Source organism: Homo sapiens, chromosome 12 (genome assembly GCF_000001405.40).
Source record: "Homo sapiens chromosome 12, GRCh38.p14 Primary Assembly".
Lineage (NCBI taxonomy): Eukaryota > Metazoa > Chordata > Mammalia > Primates > Hominidae > Homo > Homo sapiens.
The window spans coordinates 67536622-67561415 of NC_000012.12; the positions used below are offsets into that span (position 1 = coordinate 67536622).

The 24794-nt window shown below is 41.4% G+C and overlaps 1 long non-coding RNA gene across 1 annotated transcript in view, besides 4 other annotated features; it reads left to right on the forward strand.

Annotated features, from left to right (window-relative positions):
- The window catches only part of LINC02408 (long intergenic non-protein coding RNA 2408), a 47050-nt gene that overhangs the window by 16540 nt on the left and 5716 nt on the right, over nucleotides 1–24794 (forward strand). The window contains exon 2 of the long non-coding RNA NR_103861.1: nucleotides 12502–12543. This is a non-coding gene — a long non-coding RNA (long intergenic non-protein coding RNA 2408). The remainder of the gene's footprint in view (nucleotides 1–12501; nucleotides 12544–24794) is intronic.
- Nucleotides 4854–4913: a silencer, noted in NCBI's record as "silent region_4640". NCBI's record gives its function as "represses an Ori minimal core promoter by ATAC-STARR-seq in GM12878 lymphoblastoid cells {active_cell/tissue: GM12878}" and the evidence as "EXISTENCE:reporter gene assay evidence [ECO:0000049][PMID:35858748]".
- Nucleotides 5104–5183: an enhancer, noted in NCBI's record as "active region_6628". NCBI's record gives its function as "activates an Ori minimal core promoter by ATAC-STARR-seq in GM12878 lymphoblastoid cells {active_cell/tissue: GM12878}" and the evidence as "EXISTENCE:reporter gene assay evidence [ECO:0000049][PMID:35858748]".
- Nucleotides 18430–18931: an enhancer, noted in NCBI's record as "H3K4me1 hESC enhancer chr12:67948831-67949332 (GRCh37/hg19 assembly coordinates)". NCBI's record gives its function as "activates a minimal SCP1, AML or CMV promoter by ChIP-STARR-seq in primed H9 embryonic stem cells {active_cell/tissue: H9 hESC(primed)}" and the evidence as "EXISTENCE:reporter gene assay evidence [ECO:0000049][PMID:30033119]".
- Nucleotides 18932–19431: an enhancer, noted in NCBI's record as "H3K4me1 hESC enhancer chr12:67949333-67949832 (GRCh37/hg19 assembly coordinates)". NCBI's record gives its function as "activates a minimal SCP1, AML or CMV promoter by ChIP-STARR-seq in primed H9 embryonic stem cells {active_cell/tissue: H9 hESC(primed)}" and the evidence as "EXISTENCE:reporter gene assay evidence [ECO:0000049][PMID:30033119]".

Genomic DNA, 24794 nt, shown 5'->3' on the forward strand with positions numbered 1-24794 from the left:
TCAGTAACTTACAATATTGGACGTCAAATGCTTCTTTATGTATAAAAGCAAAGGTGGAAACTATAAAGGCCAAGACTAGTTAGAGCTTATTATAGAAAAATAAAATCCTTTAATAAGTAAAAAAAAAAAAAAAATAAACAGAACTAAAAGCCAACAACAAAAGGGATAAAAATATTTCCAATTTAAATAGCAAACGATCAATGCTTTTACTGATAGAGGAGTTCTTACTCATCAGGAAGACAAAGATGTTGAGTTGAATAGGTTTTTGCTTTTTGGATCAGATTTCCTTTTAACCATGCAGAGTCCAGGTGGGAACTTCTCTCATTTTGATTCATTTGGTGCATTTGGCTTCATTCTCTCATTTTAGTGAAGATCCTCTGCTTCACCCTGGGTTCAGGTTGCATTTTGCAGGCTTCCCACGTGACATCCTATGTGGTCAGAATCAAGAGACCATTATCTCAGCCCCTATCCCACATAGGTGAGGTTGGATTTCTACAGGCTTCTGCAGGAGCAGGCCAAGGACTTCCAAAATCTAATCTCCATCTACTCACATCTCACCACCTTCTCCATTGCCACCGTCATCCCCCTTGAGCCATTGCAGTCCCTTCCAAACAGCTTTTCTATTCCTGTTCCTGCCTCCCAGAATGCAATGTCTTTATAGCAGTAAATCAACTTCTAGCTTAAAACTCTCCAGTGGCTTTCAGGTGCACCTAGAATAAAATCTGACCCTTACCTTGGTTTACGAGGTCCTTTGTGAGCAGGCCCCTCCTAACTCTGTGACTCGTGGCACCCTCTGTGCACTCTTCAGGCTGCAGCCCTGTGGACCTTCTCCCCCTTGCATCAAATGCAACATGCTTGTTCCTGCCTCTGGGGCACTGGCCTTTCTCTCCTGGGTCCCCTCTGCCCAGGAGGCTCCTCCCTGCGTCCTCACATGGCTGGCTCCATTCTCACATTTCCACACTTAGAATCCTTCTCTGACCATATAATTTGAGCACCAGCCCTTACCCCCATCACTCTTGAGCTCCTTGTACTATTTTGTATTGTTTATAGCAGTTACTGCTTATTCAATATTATTTGTTTGTGGTTTGTTGTCATTCTCCTCCTACTAGAAGGAAAACTTTGTGAGAACAGGACCTTGTCCATCCCCGTGTTCACCACTGCATTTCCAGTTCCTGGGACATAGAAGGTGCTCAATAAATATTCATGGAATTGATGCATTCCTTAGAGGATAGCATCTGGTTAACAAATTTTCTTTTGCTATTATTGACAGCACAACTTTGATGGATTATTGTGCTACACAACCTCCTTCCTGGCAGGGAGAGAGGGGGCAGGGGGAGAATGAGGCAGACAAGTACATCTTTGCTGGAGCCAGAAACTGATGCTTCTGTTTATTGTCTTATGGTATCAGCCTCTAAAAAAGATGTTTTATAGGGCATGATACTGTATCTCCAACAAGAATGCAAGTTCTATTTTACAGGTGCCTGAGACACAAAGGGCCCTGGTCACTTTTCCAAGGTGTCATGTTTTCTTTTGGCTCAAGCTCATACCCAGAAACCTGGATAAAATTCTGTACTGGACAACTTGGGAGCTGTCAAAACTCCCTAACTTGTAAGCAAGCTGACCATAACACATTAGAAGGAAGCCTTTCAGAAAAACTAAACATCTAATAGATAAACTCCAATAACCTAAAATTCCACAACCTCACACCATCCTAAATAAGGCATCTGTTTAGCATAATGAGAAAAATATGGAATATGTGTCCAAATAACCTGGATTTGAATCATAGTTTTACCACCAAGAAAAGCTGGGTGAATAGAAAAAAAATCATTTCAGGCCAGGCATAGTGGCTCACGCCTGTAATCCCAGCACTTTGGGAGGCCGAGGCGGGTGGATCATGAGGTCAGGAGACCAAGACCATCCTGGCTAACACAGTGAAACCCCGTCTCTACTAAAAGTACAAAACATTAGCCAGGCGTGGTGGCACGTACCTGTAGTCCCAGCTACTCGGGAGACTGAGGCAGGAGAATCATTTGAACCCAGGAGGTGGAGGTTGCAGGGAGCTGAGATCATGCCACTGCACTCCAACCTGGGCAACGGAGTGAGACTCCATCTCAAAAAGAAAAATTTGTCTTCCTAATCATCATAAAACTATTGTTGTTAGGATTAGAAAAGGAGGTCTGCAAAATTGCTGAATGTGGCACTGGGCATATAGCTGGCAGTCAATAAGGGATAGCTTGATCTGAATAAATGTCCAGGCAAGTTGCTATATGAGGAGAGCCTTCTCTGCCTTGAGATACTGTGTCATTCTAAAGGCAGACCAAATGTGTGGATGTTTAGGTACTATCAAGTCGGAGGCACTGTATTTTTTTCTTTTCAAATTATTTGATATTATAGGGGAAAAAATCAGAACTTCTTGGACATTTTTAGACTTGTTTTACAGTTAAGCATTAACTCTGTGTAGAGGAAAGAGCTCTGTATCATTTTTGATGCTTAGAGCTTCAGCAGGTATTAATGGTCCCTGTCCTTCCTCTTCCTGTGATTGATCCCTTGGCTACCATGACCAGCTGTCTCCGATCTTCTGCTGGATCAGCTGCCTATCGCCTTGTGCCTTTTCACTGTGGGTTCTTTTGATAGTATTGGGCAGATGGGGTGGCAAGTCTCAAAGTCCCATGGTGGCTGCAGCCATGATCAGAATGTTTCTAAGGGAGCCCCAACTCTGCCACTGAGACGTGTGAGCAGAGCCCATGCTTCTTTTGCATTTATCCTCTCTGTTTTCATTCAGTGCCTCTGCAGACCCTAATGTCCTAGGGCGTGGGGTGGACGGTCCTCCTCAGAGAATGGCTCTGAGTAACCTCATCTCTGATGCCAGACAACAGCCACGGGGGATGTCTGAATCCTGATCTCCGCCTCCTCTCCAGACATCGCCTGAGCACACCCTTCGTCAGGGGAGCAGTCCCTATTTTCCACAGTCTAGGAGGGTGTTGACAAAACCTCTGATTCATTCCTCAGGCAATAGATGAAATCTGTCACCTCAATCAACGCAATGCTTGATGACAAGCACAGCATCGAGAGTTCTGTCCTAATATAGGTGAAATTCTATATACATTTTAGGTATCTTTGAGCCTTTTTTCATTGAACTTTAATGGAATTAGAAGCACTCCTGCCCTTTTCAAAAAATAGTTATTCTTAATAAGAACATATGAACATATGCTTATTATTCTTAATAACTATTTTTTGAAAAGGGACAGGAGCATTGCAAACAGGAAAGAAAATAAAGGGATAGCAGAGAAACAGAAATTTTGCATGGCAGTTTTGGAAAAATAAAGGAGATATAGCAGGAGAAAAAACTCCAGGACTTACAAAGACACTTCCCGCAGAAGGCAGGAGACCAGCGGGGAGGCTGCTATGATAATCCAGGAAAGAGACAGGAGACCAGGGTGGCAGCAGCAGTGGCAGTGATGAGCAGTGGTAAGATTTGAAATCCAACAGCACTGTTCACAGATCAGACATGAGTTGTGATGAAAACAGAGGCGCCAAGGATGACTCAAACAATTTTGGCCTATGCAACTGAAAGGATGGGATTGCCATTTCCTGAGACAGGAAGGTGGAGCAGGATAGTGGGGACAAGGGAGCATAAAGAGCTGGGTTTTGTAGGTGTTCAGTTTGAGTTTGAGATGCCCACTTATAGAAATCTGAGTGGAAGTGTTGAGAAGGCAGTCACATATATGAAAATATATATCATTCATATGCAGTTTGAGAGAAATAGCCAGCCTTAAGGTATATATTTCAGAACCGCAGCAGAGCATATAGATGGTGTTTAAACCTGTCTGTCTGTCTATCTATGTATCTATGTATCTATGTATCTATCTATCTATCTATCTATCTATCTATCTATCTATCTATCTATCTATCTATCTATCTAATCTATCTAGAGGGAGAGAGATTACTTTAAGAAATCCTGGGTGTCTAGACTGGGCAACTGGAGGGATAGTGGCCGCACACCTCTGTTTACCTTTCATCTTGCTTTTCAGAGTGTGTTCTGTTCTGTTTGGTTTTAATGTTCAGAGAGTTTTGTTTTAGTATTCCAAGTGGCCCTACACCGATCATTTAGTGTACGTTATGTTATGAATGTGTTAGCTCTGAACACCATTCCCAGGACCATTCTCTGGTTGGGATAAATAGGGTAGAGGTTGAGCCAAGGGTCAGTTGTACTTTGACTAGCATTCCTCAGCATTTTAAAAACAGGGCTATTAACATATGGTTCACATACCATGTAATTCACTCAAAGTGTACAGTTTACGGTTTTTTGTATATTCAGACTGTGCAAACATTCCCACAGTCAATTTTAGAACACTTCCATAATCTCCAAAAGAAACCCAATGGCCTTTAACTATCACTCCCTATCCCCTACCCTGCCCTCAGCCACAGGCAACCATTAGTCTACTCTCTGCCTCATGGAGTTTCCTGTTCTGGACATTCCATAGAAAGGGAATCATGCAACACGTGGTACTTTGTGACTGTTTCTTTCACCCACGTGTTTTCACATTCTTTCATGTCAGAGCAGGTATTATTACTTCAACCGTTTCTTACAGCTGAATATTCCAATGTATGGATGTATCACATTTTATTGATCCACTCATCATGTGGTGGACATTTTGGCTTTTGTATGGTAATGCTGCTGTCAACGTGGTGTATGAGTTTTTGTGTGGACATATCCCTCAGTGTGTTTAGAATCTGCCTGAAAACCCTGACCACGTCAGGGGCAGAATAAGCAGAAGGGTATTGGATGTTGTCCAATAACCTCACATTTACCTTGTGAAGGAAAGGAGTTTCAGTTCAGCATAGGAACCACAATCTCTTGTTTGTTTTACCAGAAAGACATTCTTCGTTTCACTCCTACTCTGTACCCACCATTTTCTCTCAGCTGCTAAGAAAAAGGAAGAAGACAGGGCAAAATTCAAGAACCTACATAATTTAACCATCGCAAATATTCAACCTAAACCTCCCTCTAAACACTGAACTCTTCACTCACTCCCATTTATACCTTCCATATCGTATTAATGCTCCCCTTTCTCCCGGATGCTTATGAGTATTTCAGATAAGTGTAACTGATCACCTAATCTTTCTGCTTCCTCCTCCCCTGCTAGAGACTTGGCCACCTGCCAATCACAGCAGAGCACCTTAATTCCTTCAGCACATGCTCAAGGGGTCACCTGTGTGTGCAGCTCCAGGCATAACTCTGCTGCCAAAGCAAAAAGAGCACAGCTGCTTCTCAGCTTTCCAGGCCATCGGGAGGGGGCTAATGACAACTGGGCCTCTAAGATGCTCTTTGGGAGTCTACACTTGATAACCTTTGGGGAGTCATGCAAACAGCTTGACTTAGGCCATCCCATGTGTCCCAATAACACTGTCTCATGTGAATTAAATAGTTTGTTTTTTAAAATTCTCTCTCACTAAAGTGTCATCTTCTTGTGGGCAAGGACTGTGTCTTGTTCATCCTTGCAGCCTCAACACTGTGTCTGGCATCCATGGACAATTCATTTTGCTCAATTGAACTGAATGCTCAAGATCCTCAAGAAAGGAAGAAGAGAAATTACATTTACAAAGCACCTATTGTGTGCCAATCACTATAGTAGGCCACTTTATGTTTTATTAAACTAAATCCCTTGAGCTAGAGTCAGCTGCAAGGGAAGATGATGACCACTATTTTACTGATGAAGAAACTAGACTCCCTCCCTCAGAGGTTGAGGAGTGTGCTAGAAGTCACACAACCACCAAATGGCAATATTAAATTCAAACCTGGTGACTCCAAAGGCTATACTCTCCACATCATAACAGAGCCTCCAAGTCTGGTTGTAAGAAAGCATCAGATAGCAGGCATCCATTTCTTCATGCGTTCTTCAGTTCATGTAGGTAAGTACTGAGTGTTAATTATGCATTACATACTGTGCTAAGTTCTAGAAGCACAAAAATAAATAAGACATGGCTCAGTCTAGGAAGGAAGATAAGTGAAAATCATAATTAATTAAATCAGAATGTCAGGTATGGCACTGTAAAAGATCTGATAGGAGAACCGCCAACCTCAGCTTCTGGGCCACAGGAACTGCCACCAAAAATTAGTGCCAAAAATTAGTGCCAGGAGAGTGTCTCTGGGACCTACAGGAGTCAGCCAGGTGAGTCAGAGGCGTAGAGTAAAGGGATGGGCTTAGAGCCTCATTGGTAACATGGGGACAATGATACTCTCTACCCCATAGGATTTTTGTGAGGATTAAATGAGTTAATTCAAGAGCATAAAATAGTGCCTGACACACAATATGTTCTCAGTGTATTGTAGCAGCTGTTATCATTATTTATCTTAGATGAGCCAATAATTTGATGAAAAGTATCATAGAACTATTCAGAATAAAGCAGAGATGAGAACATGACTCCAGAATGCATTTGCCCAGAATCCTGAATCCTGAATCCTCCTGACTTGCTGGCTGTCTGACTTGAGCTGTTGAACCGTTCTGGCCTCCAGTTTCTCCTCTGTACCTTCTCAGGGTCGTTGTAAGGACTGAGATAAAACAGGTCATATGCTTAGATCAGCACTTGGCATACAGTAAATACCATCAGCTTGTGGGCTGTTGCAAGGTGCTGTGGAAACACCGAGAAGGGTTACATGAACTAGACTGTCAGGGAAAGCTTCCCCCAGGAGCCAAAGCTTGCCTGGGTATGGAAAGTGCCACAAGGTGAGCCAAACCTCACCTGGGTGTGGAAAGTTAACGGGTAGGTTAACCAGTCTTGGGAAGCAAGGACAGTAGCCTGGTCAGAATGACACTCTTAAAACTCAGAAATGTGGGGTGGCTCAGTGAGTCCTGAGAACTGGAAGCAGCTGAAAGATGTTAGAACATAGACGGTGGTGGCCATGGTGTCAGCAGGTCTGGAGAATGGGGGTGCATATTGCAGAGTAAGCAAAACAGTTGGAACTCTATGCTGGAAACTGCCTGGCTCTGTATCACGCATCTGAAGAGGGTGCTCTCAACTTCTTCCTTAGTGGGAATTCCCCAGAACATTACTAGTATGCTGTTGTTTGCTAACACATGCCATCCATCTTGAGTTGCACCATTGTTATTTTCCGTCTATTTCTAAGTCTCTGAGATGGGGGTGCATCTTCCCATTGATGTTGGTATAATTCCTGCCCACCTGGACTGAAGGTGAGGTCTTCCAGAGAGGGTTTGCCTCAGCTTTGGCCAGTCATCAAGGACACTATTTTAAGTTCTCTGGTTAGGGGTTTTGGAGTTACACTGGCAGTGTCAATTCCAACAACAAAGCTGCATGAACAGCTTGTAGTTCAAATCCTCCAGGGAGATTTGCTCCTTCCCCCATCAGCAAGGTTCAGACATACAAACAAGTTTTCTTGCTATCTTTTCTTTGTAAGTTGTGTTCATTTCTCATTTAAACTTGCACTGAAGAATAGCTGCTTCCTATCCCAGCTTTATATAGGGCTTCCTATTAGACTACCCATTTGGAGCATATTTTTTCTTTCTTATTAGTTACTTTTGTGTCATAATCAATAGCACTTCAGGTTCAGTGGAAAAGAGTACTTAATTCCATGAATGGATGGTCTCCTTAATACCTACTGATCTCCAAAAGGAAAGTCGATGCTGAGGTGATGTTTATTTAGTGTGTGTGAATCTATCCTTTACCCATGCGATACAGGATGTAGTCCTAAACACAGAAGCCACTCTACGTATTCCAGACATAAAGCATTTAGCATAGAACTGACAGTTTTCATGGAAAAGCTGAGGATGCAGAGGTAAGGGCAGGTGCTTGCTGGAGACCAGGGTTGATGATCATGGTGATCTTAGCCAGGACACCAGAGCAGGATGCTCTCAAATGCTTGTGGAAATGGCTGCAATTCTCAAGAATCTTAGAGACGCTTCATCAACTGCCTCAATCTGCTGAGGCAAAGCAGGTGGTTCGTAGAGTTCTTTAGGAGCCACTGGGAATCTCCCTTCTGCTTCCACATCTGTCTGCAACCACCTCTGGAAAATAATAATGGTTTCTGCATTCCAAATCTCCAGTGCGTTTCTTTCACTGGCAAATTCTAACCTGGATCCACGCTGGGAAGAAAATTCACAAAACCTGGTTGCCAGACTTAGAGTGGCAGCAGTGCCAAGTTGACAACGGATCAACCAACACACAGGGGAACCAATGCCTTTTTCCAAGAGCAGTTTATTACTATACTTTTTTTTTTTAAAGACCACTGGTGAAGAGGAACAGGGGGTGTGTGACATTTAAAGACTCCAACAACCACATTTCTCCCATTTCAATTTTTGGCTCTTGTACCATCAATGATAGTTAATAGGGACCCACGGGGTCTGATTTAATGCTAATGAATTATAAAATTCATCTGTGTATTGTCCATAAAAGCAAAATTCTGAGATTCTCCAAGATGTATTAAAGTCTCTCACCTTTGGGCTTAGTCCCCAGCTGGCATGTGAGGGGTTGCGTGAGGAGGTGGGAAAGGGGACAGAGAAGGGTGCTGATACTGGGACCTCACATGGCCCTTGAGTGACCAACAGGCAAACATCGGCAGTGTCTCAGCATCTCCCTTCAATCAGCATTCATAAAGCAATCTCTATGTAAACAGGTTCGTGTTAGTCTCTTAAAGGATAGAGGAACGACATGACCACATGACCTTGACTTTCTGAGAATTCGTAATTGACTTGGGCAGGTATATGAAGCAGCCCTGTCTCCATCTCCTGTCTCTTTTTCGAGGAGGATGCTCCTGGAAATCTGGGCCAGCCACAGAACCCTGTTTGTGCTGCGGACGCTGTGTGGAGACGTTTTGCAATGCCCGAGGGAGGCTGGCACACCAGGGATGCAGAGACAGTCAGCCGGAGCCCAATGAGAGCTGGCAAGTTTCTCCTGCCCCAGGCAGGAAACTCTGCACTATTTAGAAGTGTCAGAGCAACCCCTGAAAATGTTAACCAGATTGCACACACAACACAGAAGGAGGGAGGGGGAATACGACTGATCAGAAACACCTCCTTTTTTTTTGGAAATGTATAATAGTTAACTGTTGTAATTCCTTTATACCATGTGTTGGACAACTTAGCTAATATGTTAATTGATTTATACAATTTCTTTCAATTTTCAAATGGAATCTTATGTAAGAAACACCTCATAATAAGACAGCTGTAATGTCCTATTGCAAAAGCAGCTGGTCCCTGCCATGTTCAGGCATCAATGTATTTCACATCATTTTAAGACCATAGAGGTAATCTGTACTAAGCCACACTTATTATTTTTCTTTGGCATTTATTTTAGTCAGTTGGAGTTTTTTGACAATTACATTTAATTTGGATATTTATGAATAAGAGTTCAAAGAAACAAACTCTGCTACTTTTCTGCCTGCCTACCTGTTTTCTTAAGCACTTGTAGAAATAAATGACCAAATTACTCCTATAGGTGGAGTTCGGCAAGCTACATCCTTTGGGTCAAATCTGGTTTGCTACCTGTTCTGTAAATAAAGTCTTATTTACAAATAAGACTTCACTTGTAAATAAAGTCTTATTTACAAGCCATGCTTATTCATAAGCCATGCTTATTCATTTGCATATTGTCGATAACTACTTGCATGCTAAGTTGTGCAGTTGGAAAAGAGACTTGTATGGCCTACAAAACTTAAATATATTCACTATGTAACCGTTTCAAGAAAAAAAAAGCTTTCCAGACACTGCTGTTTAAGAATATAATTTCTTGGTGTAATAATTCCAGTTCAAAACAAATTTCCCTTTTAAATGTTACCTTCCTAATCCCTCACTCTTCCTTGGCAAAAAGCATCTTTTGACATTGATTTTGACCAGACTTGGGTTCTAATCCCAAACTTTCACAGACATCTAACAACAGCCAAACAGAATTAAAAATAAATTTTATGCATAGACTCCACAATGCTGCTTCCTCCAATGCATGCAAGGTATTAAGAGTTAAACATGTTGAATTTTAACAGAAATTCACAAGGAGGGGAATCAGAGCAGTTCTAAACCAAAATCATGGTAGCAACACCACATGTAAATCTCATGAACGTCACCTAGTCAGGGCAGTGAGAATGCATTTCACGATAGGGAACATGGCTCCAAGTTATAATTAAGCTAATTGATCATTTCAAATGTTTAGTCTTCCCTGCTTGATAAAACCAATAATGGGAGAGCTTATCAAGCAGATGTGTAAGTTAATCATAAACTTCTTCTGGCTTCCCATTTCCCAAGGACCAAGTGTATCTTTCTCTTTGAGTACAGCAGGCCTGTGTGATTCCAGTCTGCAGTCCTATTGTGCAGCTCTCTTCTGAGAACACAAGAGCATATAATGCCCTTCTGCTCAAAGGTCAGCTCAGTGCTGTCTCGTAGACAATGGCACCAAAAGGTATTTTGTTCAAGCATGGTAGATGGATGATTTCCCCACATGTACTGGGCTCTCCTGTTTCTCTGACCCCATTTTCCACCTTTCTGACTCTGGTCCCCTGCTTTCTACTTTCTTCCTAAATATCAACTTGGCTCCCTAACCTGCCTCAGGTATCTGCTTAAATGTCCCCTTAACACAGAAGTCTTCCTTGATGGCAGTTTCTAACAGAGAACACTGGCCCTTTACAGGCAAAAAGCTTTTCCAACCCCTGCTGTTTAGGAACATAACCTCTCCCAACACTCTCTATTCTCCTTAAATGCCTTTTATATTTTTCATAGCTTGTATTGCCATCTGGCATGTTATATGCTTATTCATTTGTTTTCTGCTGCTTGTTTCCTCCATTGAGGGCAGACACTTTGACACTTAGATTTATTGACTGATGAATAACCTGCTTCCAGATCATCTACCTGTCATATAGTAGGTATTTGGTAAAAGTTTTTGAAAGGATAAATGTGCGTTTCTATATGTAATGAAGTTCGCTTTTCATTTAGAAGGGGGGAAACAAAAGAGGTCTTTTGTCTTATGCTTATTAAGCCTTCCGTTCTATTAGTGGCAGTGCAATGAGGTCATTGAGAAAACATATTTTATTCACAAACAGACCCGAGTTCAAGTCTTGACTCTGCTATTTAACAACTACGTCTGTAACTTAACTTCTCCAACCCTCAATTTCTTAACCTGTAAAATGAGTATAATAGTACTTATTTCATAGATTTGTTGGGATTACATGAGACGATAAATATAAACTATTTACTGTGACATATAATTTGTATTTTAAAACATTATCTGCTAGGCGAGGTGGCTCACACCTGTAGTCCCAGCACTTTGGAAGGCAAAGGCGGGAGGATTGCTTGACTTCAGGAATTTGAGACCAGCCCAGGCAACATGGTGAGACCCTATCTCTACAAAAAATTTAAAAAATTAGCCAGGCATGGGCTGGGCGCCGTAGCTCACGTCTGTAATCCCAGCACTTTGGGACGCCAAGGCGGGAGGATCACGAGGTCAGGAGATCGAGACCACCGTAGCTAACACGGTGAAACCCCGTCTCTACTGAAAATACAAAAAATTATCCGGGCGTGGTGGCGGGCGCCTGTAGTCCCAGCTACTCAGGAGGCTGAGGCAGGAGAATGGCGTGAACCCAGGAGGCGGAGCTTGCAGTGAGCCAAGATTTCACCACTGCACTCTAGCCTGGGCGACAGAGCGAGACTCTGTCTCAAAAAACAAAAAAACCCAGCAAAACAAAGCAAAAAGAAACAAAACAAAAAATCAAAAAAAAATTAGCCAGGCATGGTGGTCTGTGCCTGTAGTGCCAGCTACTCAGGTGGCTGAGGTGGGAGGATCGCTTGAGCTTGGCAGATAGAGGATGCGGTGAGCTGTGTTTGCACCACTGCACTCTACCTGGGCAACAGAGCGAGACCCTGTCTCAAAGAAGAACAAAAAAAAAAACAGAAACAAAAACACATTGTGACTAATGCCTGTAATCCCAGCACTTTGGGAGTCTGAAGAAGGTGGATTGCTTGAACTCTGGAGCTCTGCAGCTGGGCAACATGACAAAACCCCGTTGCTACAAAAAATACAAAAATTATCCAGGTGTGGTGGCGCGTGCCTGTGGTTCCAGGTACTTGGGGGACTGAGTTGGGAGAATTACCTGAGCCTGGGAGACGGAGGTTGCAATGAACTGAGATCACGCCACTGCATTCCAGCCTGGGTGACAGAGGGAGACCCCCTCTCAAAAAACAAAAACAAAATAAAACACATTATTTTCGTTATTTCACAGAATTCAATAATGTACAAATTTCAGTTCAAGTTGACTGTCACCTGATTCCTGAATCTGGACTGATATTGGATAATGAACTGCTGAAACAGAACCTTTACTGTGATTTCAGGAAAAATGTTTAACATGATTATATGATAGATTGAAAGTGAAGTTATTAAAGGATAGAAGAAAACTGAAAATGAGTTCAATTGAGGGGTCATGTGTTTGGTATTTGTGCTCTATGTAAACCTTTCAAAGTGTATTTAGTCAAATTAATCTGTCTTTTCCTTTATGACTTTTAGATTTTGTACCATAGAAAAAAAGGCTTTACCCACTCAAACATCGTAAGTACATTAACACAGTATTTTCTTCTAAAACTGTTATGGCTAATTTTTTACATTTACATCTTAGATATGTCTAGAATTTATTTTGATATATGATTTTTTTTTGAAATAGCTCTCCATGTGTCTGTAATGAAATAATTCACTTTCCCAATACTGCAGTGTTGATAATTTATACTATCATTAATACTGTTAAATAGCTAGTAGAGTTAATCTTTTTCTTTTAGAGTTTTTCAGAAATTTCATGATTTTTCTCAGATGTTAATTTCAGTTGTAAACAAGCCTTTTGATAGTTTGTTCACTATCAAAGTTTATTAAAAATTTTCTTATCATTACAATATTGAATCTTTCTATGAACAAGATAACTACTTCTTTTTATTTGGCTACTTTTATGCCCTTTGGTCAAATTTTAAAGTTCTAAAAACATATATGTTATTAAGTTTGTTCTTAGACATTTTATAATGTTTTCAGATATTATTATAAATGAGGCATTGTCTTCCATTATATTTTTATAGCAGGTTATTATTTGACATAGAAAAACTTTTATAAATTTTTTTCTTTTTTATTATTATACTTTAAGTTCTGGGGTACATGTGCAGAAAGTGCAGGTTTGTTACATAGGTATACACGTGCCATGGTGGTTTCCTGCACCCATCAACCCATCATCTACATTAGGTATTTCTCCTAATGCTATCTCTCCCCTAGCCCCCCACCCCCGACAGGCCCCAGTGTGTGATGTTCCCCTCCCTCTGTCCATGTGTTCTCCTTGTTCACCTCCCACTTATGAGTGACAACATGCGGTGTTTGGTTTTCTGTTCTTGTTTCAGTTTGCTGAGAATGATGGTTTCCAGCTTCATCCATGTCCCTGCAAAGGACATGAACTCATCCTTTTTTTGTGGCTGCATAGTATTCTGTGGTATATATGTGCCACGTTTTCTTTATCCAGTCTATCATTGATGGCATTTGGGTTGGTTCCAAGTCTTTGCTATTGTGAACAGTGCCGCAATAAACATACGTGTGCATGTGTCTTTATAGTAGAATGATTTACAATCCTTCTACTATACAATCCCAGTAATGGGATTGCTGGGTCAAATGGTATTTCTGGTTCTAGATACTTGAGGAATTGCCATGCTCTCTTCCACAGTGGTTGAACTAATTTACACTCCCACCAACAGTGTAAAAGCATTCCTATTTCTCCACTTCCTCTCCAGCATCTGTTGTTTCCTGACTTTTTAATGATAGCCATTCTAACTGGCATGAGATGGTATCTCATTGTGGTTTTGACTGGCATTTTTCTGATGACCAGTGATGATGAGCATTTTTTCATATGTCTGTTGGCTGCATAAATGTCTTCTTTTGAGAAGTGTCTGTTCATATCCTTTGTCCACTTTTTGATGGGGTTGTTTTTTCTTGTAAATTTAAGTTCTTTGTAGATTCTGGATATTAGCCTTTTGTCAGATGGATAGATTGCAAAAATTTTCTCCCATTCTGTAGGTTGCCTGTTCACTCTGATGATAGTTTCTTTTGCTGCGCAGAAGCTCTTTAGTTTAATTAGATCCCATTTGCCAGTTTTGGCTTTTGTTGCCATTGCTTTTGGTGTTTTAGTCAGGAAGTCTTTGCCCATGCCTATGTCCTGAATGGTATTGCCTAGGTTTTCTTCTAGGGTTTTTATGGTTTTAGGTCTTACATTTAAGTCTTTAATCCGTCTTGAGTTAATTTTTGTATAAGGTGTAAGGAAGGGGTCCAGTTTCAGTTTTCTGCATATGGCTAGTCAGTTTTCCCAATGCCATTTATCTAATAGAGAATCCTTTCCCCGTTGCTTCTTTTTGTCAGGTTTGTCAAAGATCAGATGGTTATAGATGTGTGGTGTTATTTCTGAGGCCTCTGTTCTGTCCCATTGGTCTATGTATTTGTTTTGGTAACAGTACCATGCTGTTTTGGTTACTGTAGCCTTGTAGTATAGTTTGAAGTCAGGTAACATGATGCCTCCAGCTTTGTTCTTTTTGTTTAGGATTGTCTTGGCTATGCAGGCTCTTTTTTGGTTCCATATGAACTTTAAATTAGTTTCTTCCAATTTAGTGAAGAAAGTCAATGGTAGCTTGATGGGGGAGGGCAGTGAATCTGTAAATTACTTTGGGCAGTATGGCCATTTTCATGATATTGATTCTTCCTATCCATGAGCATGGAATGTTTTTCCATTTATTTGTGTCCTCTCTTATTACCTTGAGCAGTGGTTTGTAGTTCTCCTTGCAGAGGTCCTTCACATCCCTTGTAAGTTGTATTGCTAGGTATTTTATTCTTTTTGTAGCAATTGTGAAAAGGAGTTCACTCATGATTTGGCTCTCTGTTTGTCTGTTGTTAGTGTATAGGAATGCTTGTGATTTTTCACATTGATTTTGTATCCTGAGACTGCTGAAGTTGCTAATCAGCTTGAGGAGATTTGGGGCTGAGACAATGGGGTTTTCTAAACATACAATCATGTCATCTGCAAACAGGAATAATTCAACTTCCTCTTTTCCTGATTGAATACCCTTTATTTCTTTCTCTTGCCTGATTGCCCTGGCCAGAACTTCCAATACTATGTTGAATAGGAGTGGTGAGAGAGGGTGTCCTTGTCTTGTGCTGGTTTTCAAAAGAAATGCTTCCAGTTTTTGCCCATTCAGTGTGATATTGGCTGTGGGTTTGTCATAAATAGCTCTTATTATTTTGAGATACGTTCCATCAATACCTAGTTTATTGAGAGATTTTAGCATGAAGGGGTGTTGAATTTTGCTGAAGGCCTTTTCTGCATCTATTGAGATAATCATGTGGTTTTTGTCATTGGTTCTGTTCATGTGATGGATTACATTTGTTGATTTGTGTATATTGAACCAGCCTTGCATCCCAGGGATGAAGCTGACTTGATTGTGGTGGATAAGCTTTTTGATGTGCTGCTGGATTCAGTTTGCCAGTATTTTATTGAGGATTTTTGCATCAATGTCCATCAGGGATATTGGCTGAAATTTTCATTTTTTGTTTTTGTTGTCTCTGCCAGGTTTTGGTATCAGGATGATGTTGGCCTCATAAAATGAATTAGGGAGGATTCCCTCTTTTTCTATTGTTTGAAATAGTTTCAGAAGGTGTGGTACCAATTCCTCTTTGTACCTCTGGTAGAATTTGGCTGTGAATGCATCTTGTCCTGGACTTTTTTGGTTGGTAGGCTATTAATTACTGCCTCAATTTCAGAACTTGTTAGTGGTCCATTCAGGGATTTGACTTCTTCCTGGTTTAGACTTGGGAGGGTGTACGTGTACATTAATTTATCCATTTCTTCTAGATTTTCTAATTTATTTGCATAGAGGTGTTTATAGTATTCTCTGAGGGTAGTTTGTATTTCTTTGGGTCAATGGTGATATCCCCTTTATCATTTTTTATTGTGTCAATTTGATTCTTCTCTCTTTTGTTCTTTATTAGTCTGGCTAGTCGTCTATTTTGTTGATCTTTTCAAAAAACAAGCTCCTGGATTCATTGATTTTTTGAAGGGTTTTTTTTTTTCTCTGTCTCCTTCAATTCTGCTCTGATCTTAATTATTTCTTGTCTTCTGCTAGCTTTTGAATTTGTTTGCTTTTGCTTCTCTAGTTCTTTTCATTGTGATGTTAGGGTGTTGATTTTAGATCTTTCCTGCTTTCTTTTGTGGGCATTTAGTGTTATAAATTTCTCTCTAAACACTGCTTTAAATGTGTCTCAGAGATTCTGGTACATTGTGTCTGTGTTCTCATTGGTTTCAAAGAACATCTTTATTTCTGTCTTCATTTTGTTATTTACCCAGTAGTCATTCAGGAGCAGGTTGTTCAGTTTCCATGTAGTTGTGTGGTTTTAAGTGAGTTTCTTAATCCTGAGGTCTAACTTGATTGCACTGTGATCTGAGAGACTGTTAGGATTTCCGTTCTTTTGCATTTGCTGAGGAGTGTTTTACTTCCAATTATGTGGTCAGTTTTAGAATAAGTGTGATGTGATTCTGAGAAGAATGTATATTCTGTTGATTTGGGGTGGAGAGTTCTGAAGCTGTCTATTAGTTCTGCTTGGTGCAGAGCTGAGTTCAAGTCCTGGATATCCTTGTTAATGTTCTGTCTCATTGATCTGTCTAATATTGACTGTGAGGTGTTAAAGTCTCCCACTATTATTGTGTGGGAATCTAAGTCTCTTTGTAGGTCTCTAAGAACTTGCTTTATGAATCTGGGTGCTCCTGTATTGGATGCATATATATTCAGGATAGTTAGCTCTTCCTGTTGCATTGATCCCTTTACCATTATGTAATGCCCTTCTTTGTCTTTTTTGATCTTTGTTGGTTTAAAGTCTGTTTTATTACAGACTAGGATTGCAACCCCTGCCTTTTTTTTGCTTTCCATTTGCTTGGTAAATATTCCTCCATCCCTTTCTTTTGAGCCTATGTGTGTCTTTGCACGTGAGGTGGGTCTCCTGAATACAGTACACTGATGGGTCTTGATTCTTTATCCAATTAAAAGTCTGTATCTTTTAATTGGGGCATTTAGCCTGTTTACATTTAAGGTTAATATTGTTATGTGTCAATTTGATCCTGTCGTTATGATGCTAGCTGTTTTGCCCGTTAGTTGATGCAGTTTCTTCATAGTGTTGATGGTCTTTACAATGTGGTATGTTTTCGCAGTGGCTGGTACCGGTTGTTTCTTTCCATGTTTAGTGCTTCCTTCAGGAGCTCTTATAAAGCAGGGCGGGTGGTGACAAAATCTCTCAGCATTTGCTTGTCTGGAAAGGATTTTATTTTTCCTTTGCTTATGAAGCTTAGTTTGGCTGGATATGAAATTCTGGGTTGAAAACTCTTTTCTTTATGAATGTTGAATATTGGCCCCCACTCTCTTCCGGCTTGTAGAGTTCTTGCTGAGAGATCTGCTGTTGCTCTGATGGGCTTCCCTTTGTGGGTAACCCAACCTTTCTCTCTGGCTGCACTTAACCTTTTATGCTTCATTTCAAACGTGGTGAATCTGACGATTGTGTGTCTTGGGGTTGTTCTTCTCAAGGAGTGTCTTTGTGGTGTTCTCTGTATTTCCTGAATTTGAATGTTGGCCTGCCTTGCTGGGTTGGGGAAGTTCTCCTGGATAATATCCCGAAGAGTGTTTTCCAACTCAGTTCCATTCTTCCCGTCACTTTCAGTTCCACCAATCATAGACCAAACATAGATTTGGTCTTTTCACATAGTCCCATATTTCTTGAAGGCTTTGTTTGTTTCTTTTCATTTTTTTTCTCTAATCTTGTCTTTTTACTTTCTTTCATTAAGTTGATCTTCAATCTCTGATATCCTTTCTTCTGCTTGATCGATTCGGCTATTGATACTTGTGGATGCTTCACAAAGTTCTTGTGCTGTGTTTTTCAGCTCCATCAGGTCATTTATGTTCTTCTCTAAACTGGTCATTCTAGTCAGCAATTCCTCTAACCTTTCTTCAAGGTTCTTGGCTTCCTTGCATTGAGTTATAACATGCTCCTTTAGCTCAGAGGAGTTTGTTATTACCCATCTTCTGAAGCCTACTTCTGTCAATTCGTCAAACTCATTCTCCATCCAGGTTTGTTCCCTTGTTCGCGAGGAGTTGTGATTCTTTGGAGGAGAAGAGGCATTCTGGTTTTTGGAATTTTCAGCATTTTTGCGCTGGTTTCTCCCCATCTTCATGGATTTATCTACCTTTGGTCTTTGATGTTGGTGACCTTCGGATAGGGCCTCTGAGTGGATGTCCCTTTTGTTGATGTTGATGCTATTCCTTTCTGTTTGTTAGTTTTCCTTCTAACAGTCAGGCCCCTCTGCTGCAGGTCTGCTGGAGTTTGCTGGAGGTCCACTCCAGACCCTGTTTGCCTAGGTATCACCAGCAGAGGCTGCAGAACAGCAAAGATTGCTGCCAGTTCCTTCCTCTGGAAGCTTCATCCCAGAGGGGTGCCTGCCAGGTGCTAGTGAGAGCTCTCCTGTATGAGGTGTCTGTCGGCCCATACTGGGAGGTGTCTCCCAGTCAGGATACATGGGGGCCAGGGAACCACTTGAGGAGTCAGTCTGACCCTTAGCAGAGCTTGAGCGCTGTGCTGGGAGATCTGCTCTCTTCTTAGCCATCAGGCAGGGACGTTTAAGTCTGCTGAAGCTGCACCCACAGCCGCCCCTTCCCCCAGGTACTCTGTCCCAGGGAGATGGGGGTTTTATCTGTAAGTCCCTGACTGGTGCTGCTGCCTTTTTTTCAGAGATGCCCTGCCCAGAGAGGAGGAATCTAGAGAGACAGTCTGGCCACAGTGGCCTTGCTGAGCTGCAATGGGCTCCACCCAGTTTGAACTTCCTGGAGGCTTTGTTTACACTGTGAGGGTAAAACTGCCTGCTCAAGCCTCCTCAGTGGCGGACGCCCCTCCTCCCAGCAAACTCTAGCGTCCTAGGTTGACCTCAGACTGCTGTGCTGGCAGCCAGAATTTCAAGCCAGTGAATCTTAGCTTGCTGGTCTCCATGGGGGTGGGACCCACTGAGCCAGACCGCTTGGCTCCCTGGCTTCAGCCCCCTCTCCAGGGGAAAGAATGATTCTGTCTTGCTGGCATTCCAGGTGGCACTAGGGTATGAAAAAAAAAAAAAAAAAAAAACTCCTGCAGCTAGCTCAGTGTCTGCCCATATGGCGGCCAAGTTTTGTGCTTGAAACCCAGGGCCCTGGTGGCATAGGCCCTGGAAGGAATCTCCTGGTCTGCGGGTTGTGAAGACCATGGGAAAAGCGCAGTATCTGGGCCAGAGTGCACCATTCCTCATGGCAAAGTCCCTCAGGGCTTCCCTTGGCTGGGGGTGGGGGGAATCCCCCTACCCCTTGTGCTTCCCAGATGAGGCAATGCCCCACCCTGCTTTGGCTCGCTCTCCATGGGCTGCACCCACTGTCCAACCAGTCCCAATGAGAAGAACTTGCTACCTCTCTTGGAAATGCAGAAATCACCTGCCTTCTGTATCGATCTCGCTGGGACCTGCAGACCTGAGCTGTTCCTATTCGGCCATGTTGCCAGCAAATATAGAAAAACTTTTGATAAGCTTACTAAGTTCTCTTTTTGCCAATAATATACTTCTTTTCATTTATTCTTTATTTTAATTTGTTTGTTTTTAGAGATTGGGACCCCCTGTGTTACTCAGGCTGGTCTCAAATTCCTGGCCTTAAACGATCCTCCCACCTTGGCCTCCCAGAGTGCTGGAATTGCAGGTGTGAGCCCATCATTTATTCTTTTGAGTTCTCTAGGCATGGGAAAAATAATTTTTCTACTTATTTCCCATTTCTATACTGGATAGTATTTTCTGAAAAGCTGAGTAATACTGGAGATACTGGGTATCCTTGTCATGTTCCCAATGGTAATGAGAATTTTTCTACCATCTCATCATTAGGCATGAGGTTCTTTATGCCTACTTTACTAAGATTTTGTATCTTAAAAAGTCAGGTATGGCTGGGTGCAGTGGCTCATGCCTGTAATCTCAGCACTTTGGGAGGCCGAGGCAGGTGGATCATGAGGTCAGGAGTTCAAGACCAGTGTGGCCATGATGGTGAAACCCCATCTCTACTAAAAATATGAAAATTAGCCAGGCGTGGTGGTGGGTGCCTGTAATACCAGTGAATAGTTTCTACTCAGGAGGCTGAGGCAAAGAATTGCTTGAACCCAGGAGGTGGAGGTTGCAGTAAGCTGAGATTGCGCCACTACACCCCAGCCTGGGCGACAGAGTAAGACTCCATCTCAAAAAACAAAAAAGTCAAGTATATATATCCTTTATGGATATAATTAATTAATTTATTTTTAAGAGACAAGATCTTGCTCTGTCACCCAGGCTGGAGTGCAGTGGTGTAATCACAGCTCATTGCAATCTGGAACTCCCATGCTCAAGAGATTCTCCCACCTCAGCTTCCTGAGTAGCTAGAACTACAGGCATAGGTCACCAGGCCTGTCTAATTTTTTCAATTTTTTGTGAAGACAGGGTCTCACTATGTTGCTCAGGCTGGTTTCAAACTCCTGGCCTCAAGTGATCCTCCTGCCTTGGCCTCCCAGAGTGCTGGGATTATAGGTGTGAGCCACCACACCCAGCCAGGAATAGATTTTTTATCTTGTCAAATGCTTTTATAGCATGTAGGGCCTTGAACTTTTTATTATTTTGTTACTTGACTCATAAACATAAATTATATAAATATATTTATTAACTTTGAACCATTTTTGCATTCTAGAATCTCTTGACTTGGTTATGGTGTAATACTCTTTAATATATTATCCAATTATAGTTGCTAAAATCACACTTAAGATTTTAATGCCAACATTCATAAATGAGCTTGGTCTTTTCTTTTTAGACTCTATTTAGGTCAGATTTATGTATAAATATTATGCTGACTTTGCCGAACAAGCCTTTCTTTTCACAGCCCCTTTTTCCCCCATGCACTCTTGGAAAGTTTAAATAGTATTGAAATTAATTTTTCCTCAAAAGTTTTAAGGATTTCTCTTATGAAACATGGTACTTTTAGGCAATTTAGGATTTTGGTAAGTTTCTCAATTTATCCCATAGTTATCAGTCTGTTTTCTGTCTCTTCATGGTTCAGCTTTGGTGATTTTTTTTTTTCCAAAAAAAATTATTTGTTTTCAGATTTATTTGCTTTCAACGTTGCAAAGACTTTATTAGGAGCCTTCCTATTTCCCATTCCTCAGATTTCTATTGATGGAAGAGAATGTATGAGTATGATATTTCTGACTGCTCTGTCACCCTTGCTGCCTCTCCCCAAGGGAGGGGGAGTGACTTCTCTGGCTGTGAAACTGGGCGCTTAGCTGAACACGAGTGGCTTGGCTTTATCTCTTTCAAAGGAGCTGCTCCTCAGAATTCACATGCTCCCTTTGGTTCAAGGAGACTGGCCTGGCCCTGCAGGGCCTGACTGTGGATTGGACGGTTTTTTATCCAAATTCTCTGGAGTGTTTGGAAGCTCATTGGGTTGCGATTCTAAGCCTTATATTGTAATCAGCTTAACAACAACAGGTCTGACTTTTGATCTTTATTGATTTAATGCCTCACTCTTAGTTCTCCATATTTTCTCGCTTGGGAGGAGGAAAGAGTGGTTTTATTCATTAGGACCTTCAAACCCTTAATATTGATTTTAATAGATGGCTAAGGACTAGAATTTAGGGGATAAAATAATACATAGAAATGGAACCTTCTTAAAGGCCAGCTTGGGTAGTTTGGGACTATGTCAGGACACTAGGTATTTGAGAAGTGGTTTATAATCACTATCGTCCTGTACCTGGTCTTCACCTGGCATGGGCCTCAGTGTGGGGAGAGAGAGAAGGCACCTCTGTAGCTCATTGACACCAAATGCTACACCTTTGCTTTCACCAAAGCAAGCAGCTAGGACAAGGATTAAATGATCAGAAAAGAACCTTTTAGTTTCAGTTAAAGCAGATTGAGATTCAGTGTGCAGATTTTGTAAGTATTGTGGGTGCAATGAATTTCTCTCTGTAACTTTTTATTCTCAGCAAGGACTGCAGAGAGCTAAGTTATATAAGATCTCTCAAACTTAGATGTGCAAACAAATCTCTCGGGGGGTCTTGTTAAAGTGCAGATTTGGATTCTGTAATTCTGGGGTAGAACCCAAGATTTTGCATTTCTAGCAGGTTTCAGGTGATGCTGCTACTGCTGATCTGAGAGATGCACATTATGAGGTGTTAGACTTTGCTTAGCAGACCCCACTTTGATTTCTTCTTATCTTGTTTTGAACAGCATTCAAGGTGAAAGAAGCCATTTTGGACTCATGCAGCTTGTCCTAGGCTTTGGGTTCAGATTAACCTCCGCCATGTGGCCCCCAGTTGGCGCTGCATGTGCTAATCACATAAATTCTGATCTGGCTTCAAATGTCAGTGACCTAGGCTATCTCTTTACTATGCAGAAGTGGTAGATTTCATTAATAAAAAAAATTAAAGGTAGACTGAACTTTTGTCGTATAGCAAATATGTCATCTTCTTGGTTTGAAATGGAGAAACAATTCAGTGAATGTATTTCAAATTTGCAGGCTAAAGCAGGCGATTTTAGAAGGCTTGTGCCTGGAATACTCTGAGAATCATTTTTCCTGGGGAAATCAAGGAGGAACTAGATTAGTATTTAAAAATATGCTTTCCACTACCATTGGTATTTAAAAATATGCATGCCCACTACCATTAAAACAGGGATTATGGGCAAATGAAAGAAAAATTAAGGAAGACAGACTTAAGAAGAGAGTTTCCCTCTGAGAAAAAGTCAGACCTTACAGGATAGACTAGCTACATATATAGAACATATATACACTCATATCCAACTGCTTTTAAATATAGGCTTGCAAAAGGAAAGATATTTTGGTATTTATCTGAATAGAGAGGGGTTGCTAGAGAATAGAGAAATCTAGACAAGAATTAGAAGAAGCACTGCTCAGATACTAAGAGCAAAGAAGGTCCAAGAGTGCTAGCATTATACAAGATTGAGAAAGAAAGGAAGCCCCTTAAGAAGGAGGTTAAGCAGTTAAAAACCTTAGCTAGGCCCTCCTGAAAGGAGAGAACCCCAGCGGGGAAGAACACAGTCCACTGCAGGTAAAGCTGCGGCAGAATGATCATCACTGTAAGCCCAGGAGATTCAGAAGCAGAGGAAAGAAAGGGCCTTCAGGAGATCAGGACGGTTATTAGCCCTCATGAAAGCCCTTAGGGCACAGGCTTCAGACAGCCTCATAGGCACTCCTGCTCGGAAATTGGCTGAGAGATCCTCTAGCAGAAACACATGTGAAGACAAGGAGAAAAACTGTTCCTTGGAGCCAGGTGTCATGGGCTTCAGCAATCACATTCCAAGAGACAGCAGTAGCTGCCACAGTGTTGCTGACAGGTGCTGCTGAGTCTCTGGGATGTGATAGACCCCAGTGGCATGTATCAGGTTCTACTAAGAACTAGTTCTGAGAATGTTATTTTGTTACATTAACTGCTCTAGGGGCTGTGGATTTACTTGAATTGTTTTAAACTTTGGCAGGTGTGAGGCTGGTGCGTCATATTTGAGATCTTTTAGTCCTTTGAACTTTCCACTTTTAATCAAAGAGAAAACAAAATCCCATAAAAGAAAACCAGCACACAGGGAAAATGTTTTGTAACAAATGTGACAAAGGCTAATTTTCTTAATGCAAAAAACCTAAAATGCAGTAGAAAAAAATGGGCAACAAATATGAACAAGCAATTTATAGAAGAGATAATATGAAAGCCTTTTAAGCAAACGAAAACACTCAACCTCAGCTGTAATTTTAAAAATGCAAATTAAAACAAAGTCCTTTTTTACCTACTAGATTGGCAACAAAGTTTTAAATGTGAAAATGCACTGTGCTGAAGATGTGAGAACACAGGCATCTATGCATTTCTGGCAGAGTGTAAATTGAAAAACTTTCTTTGAAGCCGGGTGCAGTGGCTCATGCCTATAATCACAGCACTTTGGGGGGCTGAGGTGGGTGAATCACAAGGTCAGCAGTTCGAGACAAGCCTGGCCAACACAGTGAAACCCCGTGTGTACTAAAACTACAAAAATGGTGGGGCGTGCCTGTAGTCCCAGCTACTCGGGAGGCTGAGGCAGAAGAATCGCTTGAACCCGGGAGGCAGAGGTTGCAGTGAGCCGAGATTGCACCACTACACTCCAGCCTGGGTGACACAGTGAGACTCCATCACAAAAAACAGAAAAAAGAAAAAACCTTCTTTGGCGAGCAACTTATCAATATTAATAAAAATGTTTTAAGCCCATAGTCTTTGACCTAGCGATCCAACTTGTAGAAAATATTTCTACAGAAAAAAATTACATGTATGCACAAAGATACGATGACTGTGTGTCTATGAGAGTGTATTTCCCAAAGCATTGTTTGTAGCCTGAGAGCAATTTCAATATTCATTAACTAGAAAGTGGTTCAATATATTATGATGCATTCATATAATGCAATGCTATGTAGTCATTAAATGAGTAAGATTTATGCTGATGTGGCTATAGTCTGCAAGATAGATTGCTAATCAGTTAGAACAATGTACAGAACATTGTCAATAGGATGCCATGGTTTGTAGGGAAAATGTGGGGTAGTACATTTATATGCATAAATGCATTGGATATGTTTTATTCTCTATTTCAATGTAACTGGCACTTACCCCTAACTCCAGCCACTGCTGTGATGACCAGTTCTTTGCAGGCTTCAACAAGCTTCACACTGGTGCACTGTGACAGTGTCTCTTCTCAGGCC